Source organism: Homo sapiens, chromosome 9 (assembly GCF_000001405.40).
Source record: "Homo sapiens chromosome 9, GRCh38.p14 Primary Assembly".
Classification (NCBI taxonomy): Eukaryota; Metazoa; Chordata; class Mammalia; order Primates; family Hominidae; genus Homo; species Homo sapiens.
Window position 1 is genome coordinate 24527511 of NC_000009.12, and position 24997 is coordinate 24552507.

Consider the following 24997-nt stretch of genomic DNA (forward strand, 5'->3'; position numbering starts at 1 on the left):
AAATACAGGCCATATTTCTGTATTATTTTTATGCTTTATCTTCTTTAAAAAAAGGTAAAATATTGTACTTGGATATATAAGTTTTAATGAGATGTGTCAATTTCACTGGTTTCTTTTTAACTTTTTAACAGAGAGAGGAAAATATTTATACTCATGTGGCTTCCATTTGTGATTTGTTATGTTTCTATCAAACAGTGCTGTTTTTTTGTGGTACATGAATAAAGTGACTGATGATGGAAACAATATTCTGAAGAAATAATCTTGACCTCCTCAGAAACACATTAAAATTACTCACATTGTGGCCATAAGCATGTTTGTTTTAGTTTATGTATAAATCATTGTAAAGAAACCATATAATTCAAAATATATTATGCATTTTAAAAACGATAAGAAAAATGATATAAAATCATAAATGTGTGGATAGATAACAGTGCAAAATCTGAAATGCAGAATAGCCATTTGTTAGGTGAAACATGTATGTTCATGTTCTTATATAAAGCATATGTTCCACCAGTAATTGCTGCATTATTCTTCTATTATATTATTAGAGGCATTGTGATTATAAAGGAAACTCTTCCCCCTATATGGTTTAAACGTTTGTGGAAATTTATCTTCTCACTGATGAATTTTAAATGCAGAAATCAATACAAATCATTTATGCAAGAATCTTTGCCCAAGTCCCTTCCATCTATCCCTGCAAATTCAAAACAAAACAGTACTCTGTCTGTTCCAACAAAGACTACATGGAACATCTCCTTTTCTCTCCTTCTGTTTTCTTTTCTTAGATGTGTTTTTCAAAGGGGGAATGAGTTAAAGACAGAAAAAGCCCCCAGTGCAGTCACAAGCAAGAAAAATACAATAAGTGACTCTCAGGATTTATTGCTTTGGAGTACTACAATAGACTATCTTTGGGTTCATAATAAATGAATCTTTAATACCTGATAGAATGCATACATATCTCCAAGTAGGTCATTTATGTTTTCATTTACATTTTCTAAGATTCTTCATTTATATTTTTAAAATACTGTGTTCTTCCAGGAATTATTCCATATAAATTCAAAGTACAATTGTTGTTCCCCTAGAAATGGAGCCATTATATACCAGGAATCACTGTCAGAAGGGAATGTATTCTGAAACGTTTTTCACATGCATATGTGTTGGATGTGGTTATTCTCACATATATGTCCTTCGTAGAAGTCGTCTGTAAGTCTGTAAGAGCCACTGCTGGGCTTGTATGTGGGGGCCAGATCTGAAGGTTAATTCCTGTTAAAAATAAGTATCCTGCATATGCAGGTCTGAAGCAGAAACTAGCCTGTGAATTCTAAACCTCTGCTGTCCAATACAGTAGCCACTAGCCACATGTGGGTGTAGATCACTTGGACTATAGTTAATGTGACAAACTAAATTTTAAATTTTATTTAACGTTAATTAAGGTAAATTTAAAAACCATCACTGGATTCAGTGTTTGAAAAACTTTTAAGTATATTTGGAACAACTTTGGATTTACTTTTTCAGGAATACATTTTATGTTATCTAAATACAGATTGAGTATTTGCAGCCAAAAAATTTCAAATTGAGATGTGCTGAAAGTATAAAGCCCAAAGCAGATTTTGAAGACTTAGTGCTAAAATAAATAAACAAAATAACTCCTAAGTCATTTTACATAGATTGGATGTTGAAATGGTTTGGATATTTGGGTTAAAATATATTAAAATTAGTTTTACCTGTTTCTTTTTATTTTCTTAATACAGCTACTAGAACGTTTAAAATTATATATGTGGTTTAAGTTAAATTTCTATGGAAACAGAAGAGGAAAATACATGGAAATATATTTGAGGTAACAAGGTTACAGATGGGATATAGTGACCAGAATGAGGAACTAGTGCCAGCAGAGTGAGAGTGGGTAGCAAATGGACCAAAAGAGAAGCAGCTCCTTGCTCTGTTGGCAGGTCAGTAGCTTGTAATTCCTGAACTGTCATAGGGCTCAGGATCAAGAACGTGACTTTTTAGCATTTAGTGTCTTATGATCAATGACAGACAAATACATTATTATGTTGCTTTAATAATAACACAATTATTTTTATAATTTAAATTTTTTATTCATTTTTTAATATATAGAGATGGAGTCTTGCTGTGCTGCCCAAATTTGTCTCAAACTGCTGGGCTTAAGTAATCTTCCTACCTCAGCCTGCCCAGAGTTCTGGGATTATAGGCCTGAGCCACTCAGTCTGGCCAATAATAACAAATTTAATTATTTTTTAAAAGTATTACTGTATTTCAGTCTTCTTTCAGCCTACAATATGGTATTAAATGCCTTACATGGAGACATATAAAGGATTTTACCATAATAACCTTTAAAACAAAAGTGATTTCCTAGAATTATAGGACAGAAAAAAGAATGTTAAAACAAATTTCATTTCCCAGGGTAGAAATCTAATGGAACATTAACTTGGGGCACTTTGTTATATCAAATCTAGTCCATAGCTAAGAACTGGATTAGATTAATCCTTTGGACAGTTTGGAACAAATTGTATTACATTGTGTTTGCCATGGAAGTCTTATTGCCTTCATGTTGAATTAAAATAGCCTTTCTCTCTACATAAGTGAAATACAAGCTCACTGCAGAGAAATCAGAATACTAACAAGCAAAAAGAGGAAAACAATAATCACTTGTAACCCATACCACCCAGAGATAATGACTGTAATTTTTCCTTGCATTTTCTTCAAGGAAACATTGTTGGTTTTTAGCCAGGGTTTGGTATGCCTTAATAAGCACTGCATCACAAACTCTGTATTTAATACTTTTCACCCTTTTCTTTGAACTCTCTTTGGGCTGTTTTCATAGCCCAGACTGAGGTTATCTGTTGTAGAACAACAACTTAATAAATGATGTCTTGTTGGCTTGAAAGTACTCTTTATATAGATTTCCAAAGCACCAAACATAAAGCCAGGAAGTTCTTTATTCACTAGAAAATCTTGTTGAACATTTTCTGACATTATTAGTACAATGGAGAGAGTGAAGATGAAAGAAGAATGAAGAATTCTGAATCTTGAAGAGCCTGTGCTTATTAGTACTTTCAGCAGAAATTATGAAGGGTCACCTCATCAGCAGATTCATGAAGCCTCATTAGGTAAAGGCTTTAAATGTTTCAAGAGTAATCCCTCATAGAAAGCCTTATAACCATCCTAAGCAAATGCTAGACAAACATGCCTACCTGCCCATGTTGACCTTTGATTGGCGAGAGTTTGTGTTTCCTCTTTAAGAGGAAGATGCACACCCAAGTGTGAAACTACACAGACAATTTAGCAGTGCTGTATCTGGGAATGCAAACCTGAGGACCTAAAGTTTGGCAGACCACTTGAGATGAAGTGGAGTGCAAAGTGTCCTTCGTCCATTCTTCAGATAGTTGCCTCCATTCTCTCTGATTTTCATTCTCTCTATTGTCCTTTCACTCAGTCTTGATATTCAACTATTTTTAGGACAGTTGAACAATAAAAACATGCATCCTGAAGTTAGGAAAAACAATGGCTTGGTGTCCTGTTCCAGAATCTTCTGTGTTTATTGATTTTGAGATAATTTGTTACATAAATACCAACGTCTCTACTGTCCCTTACCCAACTCCCACCCTATCCCTATAATAAGGGTAACTTTGGGGAATATGCTGCAGATTCTTTATCTCCGAGTTAATCTCCAGGTGTAGATCAATGCCAAAAGTTCTTAGAACTCCTAGGAAGTTCTCAGCTTCTTTGAGTTTCTGGTCCATTTGGCAGGAAGGCAGGCTGAAGGGGAAGAGTCAACCAAGCTACCTTGAGAAGTAAGTGGAGGTGCTGAAAACTTCATTTGCGCGCCCCTGAACTAGGTTAAACACTAGAAATCTGTGTGCTTGATTTGCGAATTTGGTACATATAGCCTTTATTTCATGGCAATGTTGGCCATCAAGCTGCAAAGGATTTTTAACATCCTTTAAATAAAGGACATAAAATGAAATACCACCACATTGTCTACTGTGGGACTGCTACAGTGGACAATGTGGCAGACAAGATATATACGATGCTATTAAGAATATTTGGGTTATACTCAATTTCAAGTGATAGAATTCATCAATATTTTATTTGTATTTTCATAATTTTATTCATCCAATGTTCATCTTTTCTGTGCCAGGTATTTTAACGAGCTCTGGGGATAGGTACATCTATGAACAAACAGCAGATGTGATTTCTGACCTCTTGAAGTAAGACATTAATTTATAGTTATATAATATTCCTTAATTCCTACGGAGCGAGAAAAGTAAGCAATGACACAGTGTAATTGGAAGTGCTAGCATAATATGAAGATTCAGGAAAAATCTTCCTTGAGTAGGTGACATTTAAGCGATGAAATGTTCCCTGATACATTGCTAGATGCTATGACTATAAAGATAAGCATAGCATAGTCCCTATCCCTGAGAATTTCATGTCTAGGAAAGAGACTTGAAAACCAATCACAGTCATTTATTAAAAAGCCTCTACAAAAGCATATGAATTGTAGTGGATTCCAAAGGTTGTGGGTGATCAATTCTAGCCATCTCAGAAAAGACCTTATGAAAAGAGATTACTTTAAATGTGAGTTTTGAAAGACAATAATGTTGAAGGCTGACAAAGATTACCAGGCAATCAAGACAAGGAAGAATATAGCAAGTATTGTCTGTAAGATAAAAAAAAAAATGCCTAATATGTTTGGCAAACTCTAAGTAGAGATTAAGGTTTGGGAAGGCAATTGACCAAAGGTGAAATTATATGTAAAGCAAGTTGGTAAAATATAAAACATGTGAAATGTTGTATGAAAGAGTTTACACTTCTCTTTTTGAAGTAGAAGAGGCAATGGAGTATTTTAATCAAGGATTTGACATTGATTTGTGATTTAAGATTGATATTTCTGAGTGCAAAAGGAACGAAGAATTTGGCTCCTAGATAGGCTGGGCTCAGGGAAACTGAGTAGGAGACCATTGTAGTAGCCATGAGAGAAGAATGAAGGACCTCAAATTTAACAGTAGCTGGGGAGATTCAAGAGATTTTTAGGAGTGAAAAATCAATGCTAATTGAAGAGTGACTGGCTAGGACAGATGAAGGAGAGAGAGGACTCTAGAAAATACTGAGATTTCTACCTTCTGGATTATTTATATTATCCATGAGACCTCTGCTAGCTAGTGAAAAGGTTAAGATTTGGGGTTTGAATCCTGCCTCTACAACTTGTGAATTATGGGGCTTGGAAGGAGTTACTTAAATGTGACAAGCCTCAGTTTTCTTATCTGTACAAAAGTGGCTTAAAATAATTTTGAGAGATTCTTGGGAAGATAACTAAAAATCCTTCAAGAATCCTCAATTAAGATAAATTATATAGAATCAAATGGTTTAAGGTAAGTTCAGTGTTAGGCATGCCAATTTTTAAATTAGCATTGTCTTTCTGGATGGATATGTCCAGTAGGTATTCAGAAATAAGGACTGAGGACTTGAGAAGGGGGTGCAAACAGAAGCCTAAGAATTTGGAGATATTATTATTATGTGATCTTGGAAATCACACCAGTGGGTGTGATTGCTCCAGGTAAAACGCAGGAAAAGGTTTGAAATGAGTTCTCTTATTGCAGTATCTAATAAGTATGCAGAAGAAGAGGAAGAGCTCAAAAAATCAACTAAAACATGGTTTAAACATAGAAAAATCTAAAAAACAAGAACAAAAGTAAGAACATGTGCCTAGTGTACCACAAGGGGTATTTTAAGAAGGAACCATTAGCACTCTGGCAAATCTTATAGCTGACAAGTAGCTTGAGGAATGAAGAGAACTCTGAATATAACAACAAAGAGATCACTGTCAGCCTTGGAGAGAGAAATCTCCATATGATGGTTAGGAGAAGAGTGCAGATTGGGGTGATTTAAGGGGAGAACAGAAATATAGAAACAGTCAAGAGAAATACAGTGCTCCTGTACGAAGTTAGTCATACAGGGCTGGGTACAGGATAAAGAGGCTTGAATTCCTAGTAACAGATAATAATAATAAGGACCTAGGATCGAGCAAAGGGGGTAATGATTGGAGATAAATGATGAAGGAATGCTCTAGAAGTGACTGCAGTTCAGGATGTAAAAAACATGTAAGGAGGCAGGGCGCGGTGGCTCACGCTTGTAATCCCAGCACTTTGGGAGGAAGAGGCGGATCACGAGGTTAGGAGTTTGAGACCAGCCTGGCCAACATGGTAAAACCCGGTCTCTACTAAAAACACAAAAAATTAGCTGGGCGTGGTGGCAGGCGCTTGTATTCCCAGCTATTCAGGAGGATGAAGCAGGAGAATCGCTTGAACCCCGGGGGTGGAGGTTGCAGTGAGCTGAGACCTCGCCACTGCACTCCAGCCTGGGCGACAGAGCGAGACTCCGTCTAAAAACAAACAAACAAACAAAACAGGAAGCATTAATCTAAGATGGAAGAAGGTGAAACCTTCTTTTGAGTCAAAATGTAAGGGAGCAAGTTTAGAAAGAATATTAGTAAATGGAAATTAAGAAGCTTCCAGTATTAATTCACCTGTTGTTTGATACTATTCACTTTTATTTTTATATTTTATCTGATACTTTATGTGTTGATATTTTATCTAATAACATAAGTACCTTAATTGCTATCATGTTTTAATGTTATCTTTAGATAAAATAAATTATTATGTTATCACCCAATAAAAGCTAAGTGAAACCTCATCTCTGTCTGCTGCCTCCTACAGACACACACACACACACACACACACACACACACACACACACACACATATACACATATATACATGGAAAATACTGATTGTTAATAAAGTAGCCCCAAGAAAAATAGGATCTCAGAGACTATACCATCAGTGCTAGGGTTGAATGTTATCAGATAAATATCTTTCCCTAATGATTTGTAGCTCTTCAAGAAACCTTGGAACTAAGCTTCATGAAGGACTGACATCAGGACATTGGAGTATGTGTTAAATATAGCTGTTTCAGAATAAAATGATTTGTATTATTTATTGATATAAATGAGGTTTTGCTTGAGCATTTGCTTGTTGGAAGGATGTTTTTACATAGCCATGCTTTGTTATGTTAACTGTTAGCTCAAGCTTAAATTAGAATTGTAAGCAATTAATTTTGTATCATGTTTACATTTAAAAAACAGAAGTACCACAAGACCTTTCCTAGTGAATGAACACATAGTTTAATTAGATCATCTTGACTTTATTGTATGATAAGCACATAAACATAAAAGGCTTCTTCTAATTCTGGTGATTTTTGAAATAATAAAGTCCAGATTCTGGATTTATATGATGAAGCAATTGCAGTAGATTGTGTAGATAGAAGAGCACCCATTTGAAAAAAAGAGTCCATTATTTTTTGAGTTTTTGATTATGGCCATTCTTGCAGGAGTAAGTTGGTATTGCATTGTAGTTTTGATTTGCATTTCACTGATCATTAGTGATGTTGGACATTTTTTCATGTTTGTTGACCATTTGTATGTCTTCTTGTAATAATTGTCTATCCATGTCCCTAGCCCACTTTTTGGTGGGATTATTTGGTTTTTTTCTTTCTAATTTGTTTGAGTTCCTTCTAGATTGTGGATATTAGTCCTTTGTTGGACGTATAGATTGTGAATAATTTCTCCCACTCTGTGGATCGTTGGTTTATTCTGCTGACTGTTACTTTAGCTCTGCAGAAGCTCTTTAGTTTAATTAAGTCCCACCTATTTATCTTTGCTTTTGTTGTATTTGATTTTGGATTCTTGGTCATGAAGTCATTGCCTAAGCCAATGTCTGGAAGGGTTTTTCTGATGTTAACCTCTGGAATTTTTATAGTTTCAGGTCTTAGATTTAAGTTCTTGATCCATTTTGAATTGACTTTTGTATAAGCAGAGAGAAGAGGATCCAGTTTCTTTCTCCTACCTGTGGCCTGCCAATTATCCCAGCACCATTTGTTGAATAGGGTGTACTTTCTCCACTTTGTTTTTGTTTGCTTTGTCAAAGATCAGTTCTGGGTTCTCTCTTCTGTCCCATTGGTCTATGTGCCTACTTTTATATCAGTCCCATGCTGTTTTGGTGACTGTGCCCTTATAGTATAGTTTGAAGTCAGGTAATGTGATGCCTCCAGATTTGTTGTTTTTGCTTAGTCTTGCTTTGACTATGCAGGCTCTTCTTTGGGGGTTCCATATTAATTGTAGGATTGCTTTGTCTAGTTCTTTAAAGAATGATGGTGGTATTTGGATGAGAATTGCCTTGAATTTGTGATTGCTTTTGGCAATATGGTCATTTTCACAATATTCTACCCATCCATGAGCATGGGATATATTTCCATGTGTTTTTGTTGTCTATGATTTCCTTCAGCAGTGTTTTGTAGTTTTCCTGGTAGAGGTCTTTCACCTCCCTGGTTTGGTATATTCCAAAAGTATTTTATTTTTAAATTTTGGCAGCTATTGTAAAAGGGGTTGAGTTCTTGATTTGATTCTCAGGTTGGTCGCTGTTGGTGTATAGCAGAGATACTGACTTGTGTACATTAATTTTCCATACTGAAACTTGGCTGAATTCATTTATCAGTTCTAAAGCTTTTTGGAGGAGTCTTTTGGGTTTTCTAAGTATAGCATCATATCCTGCTGGCATGGATGTGGTGTAAAGGGAACACTTCTACACTGCTGGTGCGAATGTAAACTAATACAACCACTATGGAAAACAGTGCGAAGATTCCTTAAATAACTAAAAGTAGAACTACAATTTGATCCAGGAATCCCACTACTGGGTGTCTACCCAGAGGAAAAGAAGTCATTATATGAAAAAGATACTTTGTACATGCATATTTATAGCAGCACAATTCACAATTGCAAAAATATGAAACCAGCACAAATCTCCATCAGAGTGGATAAAGAAAATGTGATATATATATGAAGGAACACTGCTCAGCCATTAAAAGGAATAAATTAATGGCATTCATAACAACTTGGATGGAACTTGAGATTATTATTCTAAGTGAAGTAACTCAGGAATGGAAAAACCAAACATTGTATGTTCCCACTTATAAGTGGGAGCTAAACTATGAAGATGCAAAGGCATACTAATGATACAATGGACTTTGGGGACTTGAGGTAAAGAGTGGGAGGGGGGTGAGGGATAAAAGACTACAAATTGGGTTTAGTTTATTCTGCTTGGGTGATGGGTACACCAAAACCTGACAAATCACCACTGAAGAACTTACTAATGTAACCAAATACCAACTGTTTCCCCCAAACTTATGGAAATGAAAAATTTTAAAAAACCACATAGTCCAAAGCTGATTGGAATTCTTCATTATTCTCACTCAAAGTCAGCATCATCTCAAAGTCATTGAAAGGAATAAGTTTGCATAGAACAGCTTGGATTTTGGGTTATCTTAATATTATAAGTATCTTAATGGTTATTATCTTGCTCGCTTTGCCTTACAGTTCACTTAGAGTTTTATTTTGATTTTACCATGATGTAATGATCTTTAGTATTCTGTCCTTGGTCTGTATCTCTTCTTCACCAGCCTCTAGCTAGGTGGCCTCAGTCATATTTTCAGCTTTGCTATTTATTGTGTTCTAGTGCCTTTGAAATGAGTTTCACTAGCTATGTTCATGTATGTAAGTCCAAACGCTGAAGGCATATCTTTTTAAATATCCCAGCAGGATTCATACTTAATATTTCAAAACTGAACTTGAACCTTTTCTGTGAAACTTATTTGTCCTCCTGTATTTCCTACTGAAGGACACAACCAAATAAAAAGAGTTAAACTGGAAGAAAACCATAGTTCCACCATCAAGGTAAAATCAGTCAACATATTTTATTTTACTCTGGGCTTTTCTCTAAGCATGGCATTTGTTTTCAATTGTGTTAATACAATTTTTAAATTTTTTTTTTTTTGAGACGGAGTCTCACTCTGTCGCCCAGGCTGGAGTGCAGTGGCGGGATCTCGGCTCACTGCAAGCTCCGCCTCCCGGGTTCACGCCATTCTCCTGCCTCAGCCTCCCAAGTAGCTGGGACTACAGGCGCCCGCCACTACGCCCGGCTAATTTTTTGTATTTTTAGTAGAGACGGGGTTTCACCGTTTTAGCCGGGATGGTCTCGATCTCCTGACCTCGTGATCCGCCCGCCTCGGCCTCCCAAAGTGCTGGGATTACAGGCGTGAGCCACCGCGCCCGGCCAAATTTTTATTTTTATTATTATTTTTGTAGATATGGGTTCTCACTATGTTGCCTGGGCTTGTCTTGAATTCCTGAGCTCAAGCAATCCTCCCATCTCAGTCTCCCAAAGTGCTAGGACTGCAGGTGTAAGCCACTATGCCTGACTCATTTTAAAATTTATTTAAAGAATATTGACATTTTTTTGGTGGGGGGGTTCTTTTATCTTACAATGTTGATATTGGTAATTTTTACTTTTATTTTAAATAGCCCTTTCACCCAAGTTTTAAATATTTTTGCAATTTAGCTTAAAAGAGTCTGTTAAGATATAAAAACAAATCTATCTTAAGTTTTGCTACTTAAAAATTTCTGTTTTATAAAAATTATCTTTTATTTTAAAAATTTTGTTCAGTGTGGATGAAAACTTTTTTATTAGCATTCAGTGTTAGTTACCTTTTTATGCTTAACATTTCATTTTGATATAGTCTAATGTTCCCTTTTTTACATGCTTTGAGTTTAGTTTGTTCTTTTTCTACCTGCTTAATTATTATTACTTTTTTTTTGTCGGAGTTTTGCTCTTGTTGCCCAGGCTGGAGTGCAATGGTGCAACCTCGGCTCACTGCAACCTCCTCTGCCTGGGTTCAAGCGATTCTCCTGCCTCAGTGTCCCAGGTAGCTGGGGTTACAGGTGTGCACCACCACCCCCAACTAATTTTGTATTTTTAGTAGAGACAGGTTTTCACCATGTTGGTCAGGCTGGTCTTGAACTCCTGACCACAAGTGATTCACCCACCTCGGCCTCCCAAAGTGCTGGGATTATAGACGTGAGCCATTGCACCCAGCCGTTCTATCTGCTTAATTTAAACACCCTGTTCAATACATATACATATATATATATAAATACATAAATATGTATGTATTTTAAAATCTTTTTGCTATATATGATTAGAATGTTATATTGTTAAACGCATAGTTAGCACATTTCACAAGATTCGATAGGCAATATTTTTATTGTTATTTAGCTGTAAGTGTTTTATAATTTGCTTTATAGATTCATTTTTAATTCAGGAATTATTTAGAGATAGAATTTTTCAGTTTCCAATATATATAATAAGGGAATATCCTTTGTGGTTTTAATTTTGTTGCTCATGGTCTGAATGATTGTTCTTTATGAGTTCTTTGGAATTTGTTAAAATTTCCTTTTTGGCCTACGTATTAGATCAGTTAATGCTAGTTCTAAAAATATCAGAAGCTTAATCAAATAAATATTTTTCACTCATGAAATCTAAAACACATGCTCCAACTAAGAGGCATCTTCAGGATTCTAAGATATTGCTGTATATTGGCATCCTACCACTAATCAGGGAAGAAAGAGGCTGGAGGATTGTCCCTTAAATTTAGATGCTCCTGAAAATGTTTAATACACTTTTACCCACAGTCCATTGGCCAGAATTCAGCTTCATAGCCCATCGAACAGTAGGGATGACTGAGAAATGTAGTTTAACCATGTGTCCAAAAGGAAAGGGATGTAGTTAGGAGAAAACCAGCTGGTGTCTTTCAAGCCATACATGTTGTTAATTTTTATATATGTTCCTTCTTCACTAGAAAGAAGAAAAATCTATTTACTAGTTGATTGTGGGGTTTAATGCATCATGTCATTTAAAGTTGTTCATTGTGTTCTATGAATTATAGTCTTATTAACATTTTTTCTTTCGATTTATCAGATTCTAAATGAGAGGACTACACTTTCCCATCATGAATGTGAAAATCTTTTTCCTTTTTTAAAATCAGAAGACTATATTGTTAGGCTCATATGATTTCATATTATATTATCACATTATTCTTGTTAATGTTCTTTGGCTTAAATTCTCTTCTGGCTAATATCAATAAACACCTGCTTTATTTTGGGTAAGTTTTGCTAGGTATTCTTTCATTTCACATTTAGCTTCTCATGTTATTTTAGGTTGCTATCTTACAAGTAGCCTATGATTAGATTTTAAAATATCCAATCTAATAGTTGATCTTCTGATTAATATATTTACTTCGTTTACGTTTGTTATGCTTATTGTGTTACATTTTGCTCTGTTGATTTGTTTCCTCTTTCTTGTTTTTATTGAATCAGTAGGATTTATCCCCTCCTTTTCTTCTTGAAATTATGGATGTCATATATTGTATTTTCATCCCTAAAGAGTCACACTCCAATATTTCATAACAAAGAATAAAGGTATCATATGTATGCATGTACATGTATGTTTGACGAGGACCTTGGCATCTACTGCTTTTGTCTAAACTCCCTTACTTATCCTTCATCCACTTTTAGTTTCCTTTTTCTTAAGGCATGTAATTATTTCCCCTTAATTTTTGGACACAAAACTTGTTTGATTTTATAGTCAATATTTAATCATAATATGGTTTGTTTTATTTTGGCAATTTTGCTTCTCTTTCTGTTCTTTTACATAAAATCGCATGTCACGAAAAGAGATAACGAGATTATTAACAGAGCTAAGCAAGATTGAGGGAGAGAACATTTTTCTTCCTTGTGACAGTTTCCTAGGTACTTTCTTATTTTCTAAGGTATTTCTTTTTCTGGTTCCTGGAAAATCTTTTGTATATTCGGAGATGAAGAAGACAAAGAAATGATATTACTGATAAGGACTGAACTAATTTATTATAAAATATAACCAGTTCATGAAGGGTTTTAATATTCAACCATCTCAAGGCAGTGATATTATATAAAGAAACTTGAACATTAAAATTCTTCTCCATAGGACTAGAATTTTTTAACCTCAAAGTAACCATAATGGGTGTTCTAATATAATTTTAGGTTTTATGAAATAATCCCAATATAACAATTTACAGTTTGCTTAAGAGTTAATGTTTTAACTTTCTCTGCATTTGCTGTTTATAGACTTACAGTTATATAATGATTGACTTCTCATTCTTTTTAAAATAATAACTATGTTATTATTCAGGACTGACTTCAGATTCTTACAAATACACTATAATTAAAAAAGTAAAATGATTGGTACTCATAGAAAAGAAAATAGAAAACATTTGTTTTGGATAGAAATATGACTGAATATCTAAAAAATGCAAGAGACTTTAAAATAAAATTTAAAAACAAGTTTAACAAGTTGGTTATAGAGTGAATGTGTGAAAATAAATGGGTTTTTATTTTATGTAATATGGGTAAAAAGACCTGGAGTGGTTACATGTATAGATAGATAAAATAACGCTTTAAATATTCAACTGTCCAGTGATAGCTTTGGGGAAAAATACATCTGCAAAAGAGATGCTAGAGTTAATATTTATGTTATGGAAGAACCTCTTTTAAATTGACAAAAATTTTTCAGATTAAAATTAGCAGAGTGTATGAATAGGTAACTCACTGTGGGACTAATTCTAATGGCACTGAATCCTATGTAAAGATGCTGACACACTAGAGAATATAAGTAAATTCATTATCATATTTATCAGACTGCAAAATTTAAAAGAGCTGTATTACCTGTTGCTGGTGGGGATGTGGCAAACGTGAACAATTGGTTGTTACTGATATACATGCAAATTATTACATCATTTCTGTCACAGTCATAACATTTCAAAGTACATATAACTTTCATTTTGATATCCCAATTCTGTAACATTATTTCTTATAAATAAAATTATTAGTAAGTAAAGATATATGTACACAGATATTTACTGCAGCATTATTCATAGTAATAAAAAGGAACATTAAGAGATTTCCTATCAGTAGAGGAATATTGGAATAATTACGGTGCCCCCACACTATGGTGTTGTACATAACTACCAAAACAGTGAATTAGACTTACATCACTTAAATAATTTCCACAAAGTACTTAAGTATGAAAATCAACATATGAAAAAGTGTTTATAATTGTTTTAATTGCAAAAAAAATCATCCATAAATGTTTTCATATGTATGTATGTCTATTTACTTTTAATTATTTAGGCTTTAACAAAAACCATGAAAGATCTATCCTAAATTGTTATCCAATATTTGCTAGAAAGGAGTGAGGAGTGTGGAGTAGCAGTAGGGGGGAAAAGGAACGACAAGCCAATATGTTAATACCTTCAGTATATAAAATAAAATATATGTATAACAAAGTAATAAAATTAGATATAAAATAAAGTATATAAATAAAAATCCACGGAACAAAAATATCTTAAAAATCTAGAACGTATGTTACTCCATTTACATATAGTTATAATGAAAAAAACAATATAAAGGCAATAATTAAGACTGTGAATGAAGTTAATATATCTCAACAAGATATTTGAGGAGATTAAAGTTAAATCACTGGGAAATGGTAGATGCCTGACAAACACTCTTATCTGGGAATTTTACATGAATTTTAAATTTAGCACTTGAGAGATATTTGGGTTCAGGTCCTCATCAAATGCATTCTCATTTATCTCATTATTATAACGGCAACTGTAAGCAAGCACTCAGAGATCTATGTGTGAAAGATTTACAAATACCTGTACCCCCCCCTGAAGCAGGACTCTCGAAACTATTTCCTGCTGCTAAATGATGGTTTTTATCTTCTAAAATAAGTTCCGGAATAAAAGGAAACAACATAGGGTGAAAAGGTCATGAATTTTACAGTTAACTGGGCATCAGCTTTATTTCAGGCTTTGCCACATACCAACTGTGTAATGAAGGGTATATAAAGACAATAAAGCCACAATTATCTCTCCATTAATGTGTCATAACTATATGCTGATAACTGTCAATACCAGTCAAATGGTTTGGATGATCAGAGGTCAGCCACTAGAGGAGAGGAGTTTGTCATAGCTTAGATTACTTACCTGTGTGACCTTGAGTTAGAGATTCTTCTGTTTATTCATCCCCAAAGCAGATATAATAGCAATGTTATCCATAGGGCTGTTGTGAGAATTCAGATGGATAACACACGTAAAGCACTATTTAGAGTGCTACACATACTAAAAAAGTATTCAGTGGAAACAACCAAAAATAATAAAAAAAAATCGTATCCAACGTGGCCTTGGAACATAGGTCTAGGGGGAAATAACTGGGGCAAACCTCAGCTACCCAGGACTAATACTTTGGGCCTTTTTTTTTCTGCCTCTGTGTGTGTGTAATAATGAAGATTAAGTGTTGTGTATTATCAAGGAAAATTGTCCACCTTGAACCTAATGATAAATATGAAAACAGTAACAAAACAATAAAATAAAAAACAGCCTTAGAAATGTGAAAGTTATCCTAGTTACAGCCATTAATCAGAGTTACTAACGATGCATTATTTATTACTATCCAGCATATTATCTTTCCTGTGCATTGCAACATACCAGCATTACTTTCTGTACAACTCTGGCCAAATTATTTGCTCTCCCATTACTTCCGTTGTCTCAGGATATCAATAAGCATTTTCATTAGAGAAACTCTAAGTTCTATTTCAGTTTTAAAATACTATGACTTTATGACCAAGAAAGGGTTTACCTCCCAGTTTTGTACTTAGAGTCAACACTTAAGAGAATCATGAAAGACTTCTTGTCCATGTTGATGTGTTTATTTTCTGAGTCTAAAGTCTTTCTCCTCCTTCTCATCTATCTTCCCCATTAATTCTTCAAGTTTCTTCTCCACATATTCCTTTAGCGACCTTCGTATTGCCTTCATTTTCCTCCGATGAAAGATGCAAAAATGGAATCTAGAGTAGGAAAAGAAAATAATTCCAACTTCAATATCAGTAGCCCCATTCTTTAAGCCAGTTATACATTGTTTTTTTTTTTTTTTTTTTTTTTTTTTTTTTTTTGCTGGATACTTCTCCATTTCCTTTTGTTCCAACTATTATCCCGTCAAACTTTGCATTTTATTCCTTTCAGTATCCCAGAATTTAAAATGACTTCTTTTGCTTTATTTCCATTTGGAGGAAGAGGGAATTTGGGCAGTCTCTTGGCAAAAGGAATATTTGACCCAGTGTTTATTTGGAGAGAAGAAACTCACAGTAACACAGCACTTCCCAGTATTACAGCTGTTGCCAGCAATATGAGAAATAGAGCAATCTCTCGATTCTCAGCCTTTCTTGGATCCTCGTCTGGAAGGAGAAACAGGAAAATATGAAAGTGAGTTTTGGAGAAGAGAAATAGCTTGTGACATTTATTCAGAATAGAAAACTCTTTTAACCTCAGTTTGCCCTGTTTACTACTTCATCACTGTTCCATGCTTATTTTGACCTTTATTACTTTTAGTCTCCTAGGTTCTACAAAACTGTTGCTGATAGCTGTCAGCAAAATTCTTCCCAGCCTAATTTCTTCATTCCAAGCCTAGCCTCTTCATTTCTCAGCCTTTCAGTTGATTCAGTGCCAAATTATTTATACTGGTCAAAATTTCACCCAACACCCTAGCTCCATTTTGTAACACTACCATGACCTCCATTAAAGGTCATGTAGTGACCCAACAAATACATGTAGAATAAATCAGTGAGCAACCCTGCTCCTTAATCCCTGTCCCTTCAAAATTCCATACCATGATCTTTGTTACCTCCACAATATTCTCCTTTGAAGCACCTGTTAGTCATGCGAAGACACGTCCAACAATCAAGAATGGGACCTTCAACCACAACTGATAAAGAGGAGAAGAAAGATAATCAGAAAGAGGGCATGGCACGAGGGTTCCTTAGTCATACATCAAGTGTGGAGGATTTGATCTCAAGCATTCCCAGGACTCTCAAGTTTGCATTGCTGTGAATTTCTTCTTCTCCTAGAAATCAAGTTTCTTGATGGATCAAAATCTGTAAGTCTGATCTCCAGGAAAAAGCGGGAAAAGGATGCCTCAGCTTATACTGGGGCAATGGGTTGTAAACCATATGTTAGAAGGCCTCCTAGTACCTCAAAAATATGTGGGGTGTCTGAGATTTCATGAGCTAGGTTTCGTTATCAGGTATTGTTGACGTTACCCCTTGTAACCACAGCTCTAGGAATTGGTTTCCCAGTGTAACAGGTGGGAGAGATAGGGCCATATAGAGCAAAGGAGATGGGAAAATATGGGCTGAAACCTCAAGGCGTCACATGTACTGTACTCACTGCAATCTTCAGAACAAGCTAGAAGAGAATCAGAAAGTTCTAATGAGTTTAAAACCAGCTACAGTTTGCCATATTTATACCCAAGTAGTCTTTGTTTACCCTTTAAGTTCCAGTTACCTCTCCACCCATTCTAAATAACTCTATTATGAACTTGCATTTCTTCCCTCATCCCGCATTTTCTATTCCCTTCATATAACTTCAGTGCTGTTATATAGAAAGTTTTACTTACCAATTTCAGAGAAGTTCTTTAGTAATTCTTTCAGTTTGGATTCCAGGTTTTGGCAGACATCGAGAAGCTTGCCTTGATAGATAAAGACACCTAAGAGGGAGTGGAAGGGGTGTCAAAAAATAGAAGTAGCTCTTCCCTTCAGAAGTTAATTATGTCTGTTTTTATCTTTGTTTTCCCCAGCCAAATTTTCTGAGGCTTGCTTGAGCAATACAAACTTTTAACATTGAAACAGTACCTCACCTTTCCATGTTTCATTGCCCAGTTTATAAAATTCATTCTTCAACCATGTTCTCAACTTAACAACCTGCTGAACAGCTAGAGAGGGAGAGTAAAGGTACATGTAGGGGAATAATTACATCTATGCAGGAAGTTATGTAGACCCAGGTGTTCTCTTCCTTGCCTCCCTTCTCCGTTTAAGCCCCTGGACTCTCAGGAACTCAAGCTTCCCTCACCCAACACCCGAAGCCTCTTGTCACTGTGGGAGACCTTGAAGCTTAAATGAATCATCTCCTTAATCTGCCGTTCAAGCAGCTGAGTTCGGCCGGGGACTTCTGAAGGTATCAGATTTCCCAGCAAGGAGCCAACATCCTCTATAAATTTGGGGTCACATTCTAAACAGCCTTTGACTCCATGGAAGGCTGAGAGGGGCAGGAGCAGGAATAACCACAGGTCACCCATTTCTTTCTTCACCCCCGCTCCCCGACAGCAGGTTGTCCTGGCAACTAGTTCACTTAGTTCCTTTTCCTTCAAAAATCCGGGAATGAGAGCCTGGTTCTGGATAGTCTGACTCCACTTTTCCCGCTGTTTCCATCCCACTATCGGGCAATCTTTAGTTGTTTAGTTTAATGATCTTTAGTTGTTTACTGACTATTATCCTTCATTCTAGGAGAGGGAACTGCCAGCTGGGGAGCGGATACCTGAGTTCTGAGTGTAGAACACCAAGAGATAGAGAAGCCTTGAGCTCACACAAGCAGAGTTCTGTGCAGGGAGATGTCTCAGAAAAAGTGTTTCTTTAGCCCTCTCCCTGACTTGCATCCTCATGAGACTCTTAAACCCCCTCCTGACCTTCAGAGATGTTTATCATCAGAGATGGGTTATGGAAGTGATCCTATAGAACCTGAGAGATTGCTTAACTCAAACTCTGCTTCTACATTAGAGGTAAGAAAAGCCAAGAATATTGAGTTTCTTGCGGGTCTCGGTCCCTACTGGGGCAGTATTGTTGACAAATACTGGTGGCAGTATTGTTGAGAATAAAGGAGTGAGCATTTATCTAGAATAATATTTGGCAATTTTAATAGACAGTAACATATTTCAGGCTACATTTATCACTAGGATGATTTTCTAGACATGACTTGTAATCTTTTCCTTTTCTTCTTGCTTTCTTCTCTTTTCTTTCCCTTCCTTCCTTCCTTCCTTCCTTCCTTCCTTCCTTCCTTCCTTCCTTCCTTCCTTCCTTCCTTCCTTCTTTCTTTCTCCTTTTCTTTTCTTTTCTTTTCTTTTCTTTTCTTTTCTTTTCTTTTCTTTTCTTTTCTTTTCTTTTTTTTCTTTTCTTTTCTTCTTTCGAGATGGGATTTCACTCTTGTTGCCCGGGCTGGAGTGCAATGGCATGATCTCAGCTCACTTCAACCTCCGCTCCCGGGTTCCAGTGTTTCTCCTGCATCAGCCTCCTGAGTAGCTGGGATTACAGGCATGTGCCATCATGCCTGGCTTATTTTGTATTTTTAGTAGAGATGAGGTTTCTCCATGTTGGTCAAGCTGGTCTTGAACTCCCGACCTCAGGTGATTCACCCGCCTCGGCCTCCCAAAGTGCTGGGATTACAGGCATGAGCCACTGTGCCTGGTGATTTCTAATCTTTTTATAGCATTCTTCTTATAGAGAGTGTGGAGTCAGATACTAGAAACAATAGTTGAGGAATACTGAGTGATGAATCCAATAAAGTTCAGATCCTTTAACAAGTGCATTCTAAAATACTGGCAAAGTATGTAACATATAAAAACATAGTGGTTATCATGGGCTTCCCTCTCAGACCACCTACAAGGAAGATGTCCAAATAAACATGTTCTCCTTTCAATGGCCCTTTGAATAAAAATATTCTGTGTTATTTGAATAAATTGAGGTTGCTTTTCAGACTCTTAAGAGCACTGGTTACCTCTTTTCTAATACATTGCCTGTATGGCTGTGACCTTCTGGAAACCAGGAAACACTGGCAATCTACAGGGTTAGTGGTAGAATTTATATTTAAGATATGGGGTGATCACAGTGGAATGTTGTGCGGGAAGTTAAAAGAATTACCATTACTTATACGTCTACCAAGTCCATGTGACAGACATTGTGCTAAACATTTCAGGTAGTCACAAATTCTCATGGCGCGCAATCCTTTGGAGATTGTCATTTCTATGTTACTGGTAAGAAATTGAGACTCAGAGATGTAAAAGAATCCTCGCTGGAAGAATAATTTAGAGTATGAGTTCAGGGTTCAAGCTCATGTCTTGTGTGGTTCCAAACCCTATACATTTTACTGCCTCTCAACAACAACTTGCTGGGATAACACAGAAAATTATCTCTTGGAATTTGATAAGTCAAAATATGAAGGCCAATACAGATTACTTGATTTATGGTTTAAATTAGCATATCTCTGCTCAGATTTTTTTTTTATTCCCTTGGCTAGATGATCTCATTTTTAGAGGATTTCCCAAAAGATTTTCACATGCTGAGGTCTGAAGGCAAGTGAGCTAATGGGATTAAATTAACTCTAGATAGTAAAGTTGAAAACTAAAGGGGCTAAAAAATTTGGCAGAGAAGTGGCAAGGTATGAGAACAAACTGTGCTTCAAGAAAAGATATGCATTATAGATATTTTCCAGTCAATGATCCATACCTTCACTTAGACAGTTCAAAGAGTATCCTCTGACACATTACTGAATAATTCAATGGCACATTACTTTAACCCAGACTTAGAGGTCCATCTATCATTTTTATCATTGTCTCACCCTTCCAGCTTAAATTTCAATCAGGTTTTTAGAATGAGAGAAAAAAAATGGCTTTTGGATAGTCTTAGAAAGGCTGGAAAAAGGCAAGTCACTTATTAAGACAGATAGAACTTGTAATTGAAAGAATACATATATCCCATGTAAAAGGAATAACAAGGAAGGAAATCTCAGTCTCATGGAGTAAACAGTAGAAAGATAACACAATGTGCTAATGGTAAACCCAGAGGTACACATCGAGGTTTATGAGAAAACAGAGCAGTACTAGCTAAGTTTAGAGAAATTTTTATAGAAAGGCTGGATCCAGGAGATTAGAGACAGTAATTAATATATCATGATGAGTGAGAATCCAATAGTGTTCAGGAACCTTTAGGGGGAACACTCTAAAAGTACTGATGGTGAAATGTATAACATAAGAAAATAACCACAATTATCATGGGATAGCACTTTGAATTTCGTAAATGTAAAATATTTGAGCTTTGGGAAAGAAGAGCTGTCTGGAAATTGATTAATAATGTAATGATCACATTACTTAATTAAAATAATAATGCCTGTGTCTGGAAAGCAAAAGGCTAACACCCAAACCCTAGAATAATTAAGTTAGTATATGGTTTGGCTTGGCAGGAAGAGCTATGATTTATAGTCAGCACAAATCTGCAGACTAGCTAGCTAAACTCTGTTTAAAATAGTATGAGACAAATAATGGCACATACATTCATAATATTTTTACCAACTACATAATGACTCATTTGTAGTTGTAACATAGATATTCATGGGTAGTTGTTTTTATACTAAAACACTAGCAATTAGAGAGTCCCTCCTTTAAGGGCTAGAATCAGTTGTTTGGTACCATTTGGCCTTTGTTACAAATCACATAAGGTACTGAGGTTTGAAATTTGAAGAACAAGTTTCATAAAGAGCAAGATTTTTACAGAAATTCTCCCTCATCCCATGGTAGATCTGATTTCTCAGATTTATTAACAAAAATAATGAATCCTTATCCTCAAGCTTCTTACAGCCATTTTTCTGATGGATTATTTATGCCATTGAGCTCTGCTCTATTACCCATCCCTACCTATCACTTCACAGGATTCCTTAAAAGTTTGGCAAATAATTTAGATACCTTTTATAGTCACATGCAGTTAACTACATTCCTGACTGTAATCTGAGATCAAGAAGCCATTACTTGACATTTGGCCATGTTATAAGCTATATTTCTAGGTAGTGTAATAATCGTATTTGAAATAATTACTATATACCAGACATTCCACATGTAGAATAAGTTTAATTTTCTATATACCTCCCCATTTATATTCCATTGTCATTAAGCTAATTTATTTCCTCATATTTCACTTATCCTTTAGGAATAGTCATAAGGGTGGGTAAATTATAGGGTAGACTAGAAGATTTACAATGAATCTTTAACAGGAAATGAACTAAAAAGCTAAACACATCAAGGCGATTGTGGGAAGAATGAGGGGAGGAGGGTAGCGGAAGCAGAAGATATGTGTCACAGCTTATTTTCTCTCTATACTAGAAATGTTGAGTTAAATCCTCATATTCCATGAGCTTTTGCCCTGTTCCCTTTAAGGGCTTTTACAGAATAGGTTAATAGAAAGGGCTCGTGAGACGATGTCAGTTCCTATGTGGCATGGAATGTCTTAAGATGCTTTCACTGGGTGCTGGGGAAGGATGTACAACTCAACTCAGGATCTGACTGGCACCTTTGCTGGCATATCACCAAGGCTTCAGGTAAAGGGACCCTGTGTAACAGCCGGAGAGCAGACCTGGTACCAGGGTCAGGAAAGGAAGTGGAGTCTGCAGCAAGCGTCAGGGCCTTGTTGGGCCAAATCATTAGGAAAGACCACCAGTTACTGATGCAACTGAGAGAAAACAGGTTGAAAGTGCCCCATGTGCAGAGTTTCTCAACAAATACTATAAATAGATTTAGGAATGGTATTAGGTAAAGTTACATCTTCACCTTGGAAGATACCAACACACTGTCAAAAACTAAAACACACGTTAGTGGAGAAATTTACTGCACAATTTACTGAGAGGATAAAAAATCAGGAGTTTTTAAACCCCTCTCTAGAAGGAGAGGGAGTCCATGGTGGTTATATTTACTACATTTTCACACGCTAGATAGGAAGGATTGAGTCCATGACTGGACTTGTAGTTGGTTAAAACAAGCCTGGATTTTGGTGATTATGAATTTGTTTTAACCTGGCTCAAGAAGGTCTAGGGTCCCAGAGTTACTCAGACTTCATAGTTTCTTAACAATTTCGGGAGGTTAAAGCTAGCTGGCATGAAACATAACAGTTTTGATATGTTGTAGGCAAACGCTACTGTAAGTGAAAAACTTTCTTCTACATGAGACACATCCAAGACAATGACCCCTCAACCACACAGTGCCATGAGGTAACATCAGCTCCTACCTCCCCATTCTTACATCCTGTTTGGAAAGAAACAAGAGGAAAAATGTGAAAGAATGATTCTTCCAAAAGAAATGGAGTTATCTAAAAAAAGTGTTTAAATTATTTGGTGAGATTAGGCTTATTATATTATGCTAATATTGCTTTTTATTTTTTACCCAAGGAGGTGAAAAGATGTTCAGAGAAAGCTAAGACCAATAGACTATGAGGAAGCTATGTCTCTTTCGTGTATCTGAGAGCAGTGTGAAAAAATGTGTGACCTTGCAACATAAATGTCATATTTTATTCTCAAGACAAGCTTGCATGACTATTTCCATTTTATAAAATACAAGCCTGATGTTTGGAGCCATTAAAGGACTTGTCCAAGGTCACACACTTAGTCGGATAAAGATTTGGGGGTTGTAACACAAATTTGTCTGCCTTCAAATCCATGTTCTTTCTAAAACACCAAAATTTCTTTTCTGAAGAGAGTTAATCCAAGGTCACATCATCATTGCCTCAGAGTAGCAAGAATAGGTACTCTTATGAAATTATATTTGAAAAAAATAGAAAGATGTTGTGTTCTTTTCATTCAATTATTTAAAAATTATGGAGTCTGTAATTCAACCATCTTTTAGTTTTCTCCCCATAGCCAATTCTTTTCTCCATTCCTCCCAATTATTTCTATAGAGGAATTGCCTGTTGATTAAAGTACCTAATTTCTTTAATGACACATATAAAAGATACAGATGTTAACCTAGTTCGCCATAAATAAATACCAGGTACATGCAGAATTTCTCCTTTCCTACCTTCAAAAGGAATAAAAACACAATAATAAAACCAATAATGAGAACCCAGTAGCCAATAAGAAGTAATTTCATTGAACAAAAAGTCTATGTCAAATAGTGTTTTATAATTCTTACATGCATGATCTTATAAAAATCTCTATTCTAAAAGGCTGGTCCTATTTTACCCATTTAGAGATGAGAGAACTGAGACTGAGTGGTTAAGTATTTTCAACCAGACCATAGAGCTCTCTGGCAGTAGAGCATGGATTTGTATAGTTTTGAATGATTCCCTATTTATTTTCTTTAAACCATCAAATTCTCAGTTTTTGGTAGCCAAGAGGAAAAAATGTACCCTTTCCCTGTACGTAATGAACTGGCTTATTTCTGATAAACTTATACTTAGTAGGTGAGACATTGTGGACTAATATATGGCACTAGATTCAATTTTAATTCTGATCCTTGTAGGAAAAGATCTCTTTGCAGTGTGTAGAGTCAAGGGGTTGAACTCTTAGTGGAATTTGAACTTAATGGTTACTACCCTTCAAGAACTAATTTTATTGTTAACTTTTTTTTACATTATACAACTTTTCTTTAGTATAAAATTTTGCATTTGGACCTTTATTTGCAGACTTGTATTTGTCATCTTGTTTTGCAGTATTAATTAGGATAGTTTTCTCTTGATTCTTTCTAATATGCTAAGTAAGTATTTTCTGTGTAATACAACCTGTCTTCAAACTACACCTGTAGGTGTTGGCTTATCTATAAGATCATTGGAAATTTAATCAAATTTCATTATATCTTGCAGTGTCTTCTGAAAAATGACCTCAACAAAATTTGCTATCTACCTATTTACTAACATAAATGAGGAAACCAAAAAGGTCAACGGTGAGGCAGGAAGGTTTCAGTTCAGTGGAGAAAAGAAAATCTTGATGAAATGTCATTAACTTCCATATTTGGAATAAGCTATAAAAGGTGTGGAATCTCCATTCTTTCAATCCGCAGTCAGTGTTGGGCAGTCCTCCCTCAAGGTTTGGGCTTTACTGAATTGGAAGTCCTCCTAGCTGACATAGCTGTTACAATATTTAGAGTATTTAGAGAATGATACCATGAGAAGTTTCTGATTTATATTATTTTTTAAATTTAATGAAAGTATAACAGCAGATATTATATATATGTATAATTTTTTTGAAAAATGAAAATTCTGGTACTACATACACTAGATGAAAAAGGAATTTGTCTAGTTCTACACATTATCAAGTCATTTTTTGCCTAAACACATTCACCAAGATGGATTCTAAAAAACACTACAAATCAGTTTTTTTAAGTGGTAAGAGGTATATTTTCTAGAAA

General features: G+C 35.5%; 1 protein-coding gene and 1 long non-coding RNA gene across 5 annotated transcripts, besides 1 other annotated feature; one reads left to right on the top strand and one right to left on the bottom strand.

Moving 5' to 3' along the window:
• The first annotated feature begins 3770 nt into the window (after positions 1–3770).
• Positions 3771–16160, top strand: LOC105375994 (uncharacterized). 2 transcript variants are annotated; one of them, XR_929522.1, is made up of 3 exons: positions 3771–3815; positions 4163–4232; positions 16080–16160. It is a non-coding gene; the product is annotated as an uncharacterized LOC105375994 (long non-coding RNA). The 2 variants fall into 2 exon arrangements; XR_929523.1 differs by lacking the exons at positions 3771–3815; positions 4163–4232 and adding exons at positions 9683–9811; positions 11892–12075 and having other exon boundaries at positions 16080–16155.
• IZUMO3 (IZUMO family member 3) lies at positions 15442–18387 on the bottom strand. Of its 3 annotated transcripts, NM_001365008.2 has the most exons (7): positions 17914–18387; positions 17702–17776; positions 17462–17551; positions 17233–17250; positions 16691–16771; positions 16154–16244; positions 15442–15857 (listed from the first exon to the last, which is right to left on the bottom strand). In NM_001365008.2, exons 1-7 carry the CDS (start codon positions 18137–18139, stop codon positions 15719–15721), a joined length of 720 nt encoding a protein of 239 aa, NP_001351937.1. In that variant the 5' UTR covers positions 18140–18387; the 3' UTR covers positions 15442–15718. The 3 variants fall into 3 exon arrangements, with proteins under 3 accessions (NP_001351937.1, NP_001258635.1, XP_006716777.1); NM_001271706.1 differs by lacking the exon at positions 17233–17250 and having other exon boundaries at positions 15705–15857; positions 17914–18166; XM_006716714.5 differs by lacking the exons at positions 15442–15857; positions 16154–16244 and having other exon boundaries at positions 17205–17250.
• Positions 16837–18036: an enhancer, noted in NCBI's record as "P300/CBP strongly-dependent group 1 enhancer chr9:24544345-24545544 (GRCh37/hg19 assembly coordinates)". NCBI's record gives its function as "activates an origin of replication core promoter dependent on BRD2, BRD4, P300/CBP, MED14 and CDK7 cofactors, with strong dependence on P300/CBP, by STARR-seq in HCT116 cells {active_cell/tissue: HCT116}" and the evidence as "EXISTENCE:reporter gene assay evidence [ECO:0000049][PMID:35650434]".
• Positions 18388–24997: the final 6610 nt, after the last annotated feature.

Coding starts and splice junctions, on each gene's coding strand:
- IZUMO3 (NM_001365008.2), bottom strand. CDS start 18,139: ATGGGTGACCTGTGGTTATTCCTGCTCCTGCCCCTCTCAGCCTTCCAT. Junction 17,777..17,913: donor CAAGAGGCTTCGGGTGTTGG/GTGAGGGAAGCT, acceptor CTCCCTCTCTAG/CTGTTCAGCAGGTTGTTAAG. Junction 15,858..16,153: donor CTGGGAAGTGCTGTGTTACT/GTGAGTTTCTTC, acceptor TTCCTACTCTAG/ATTCCATTTTTGCATCTTTC.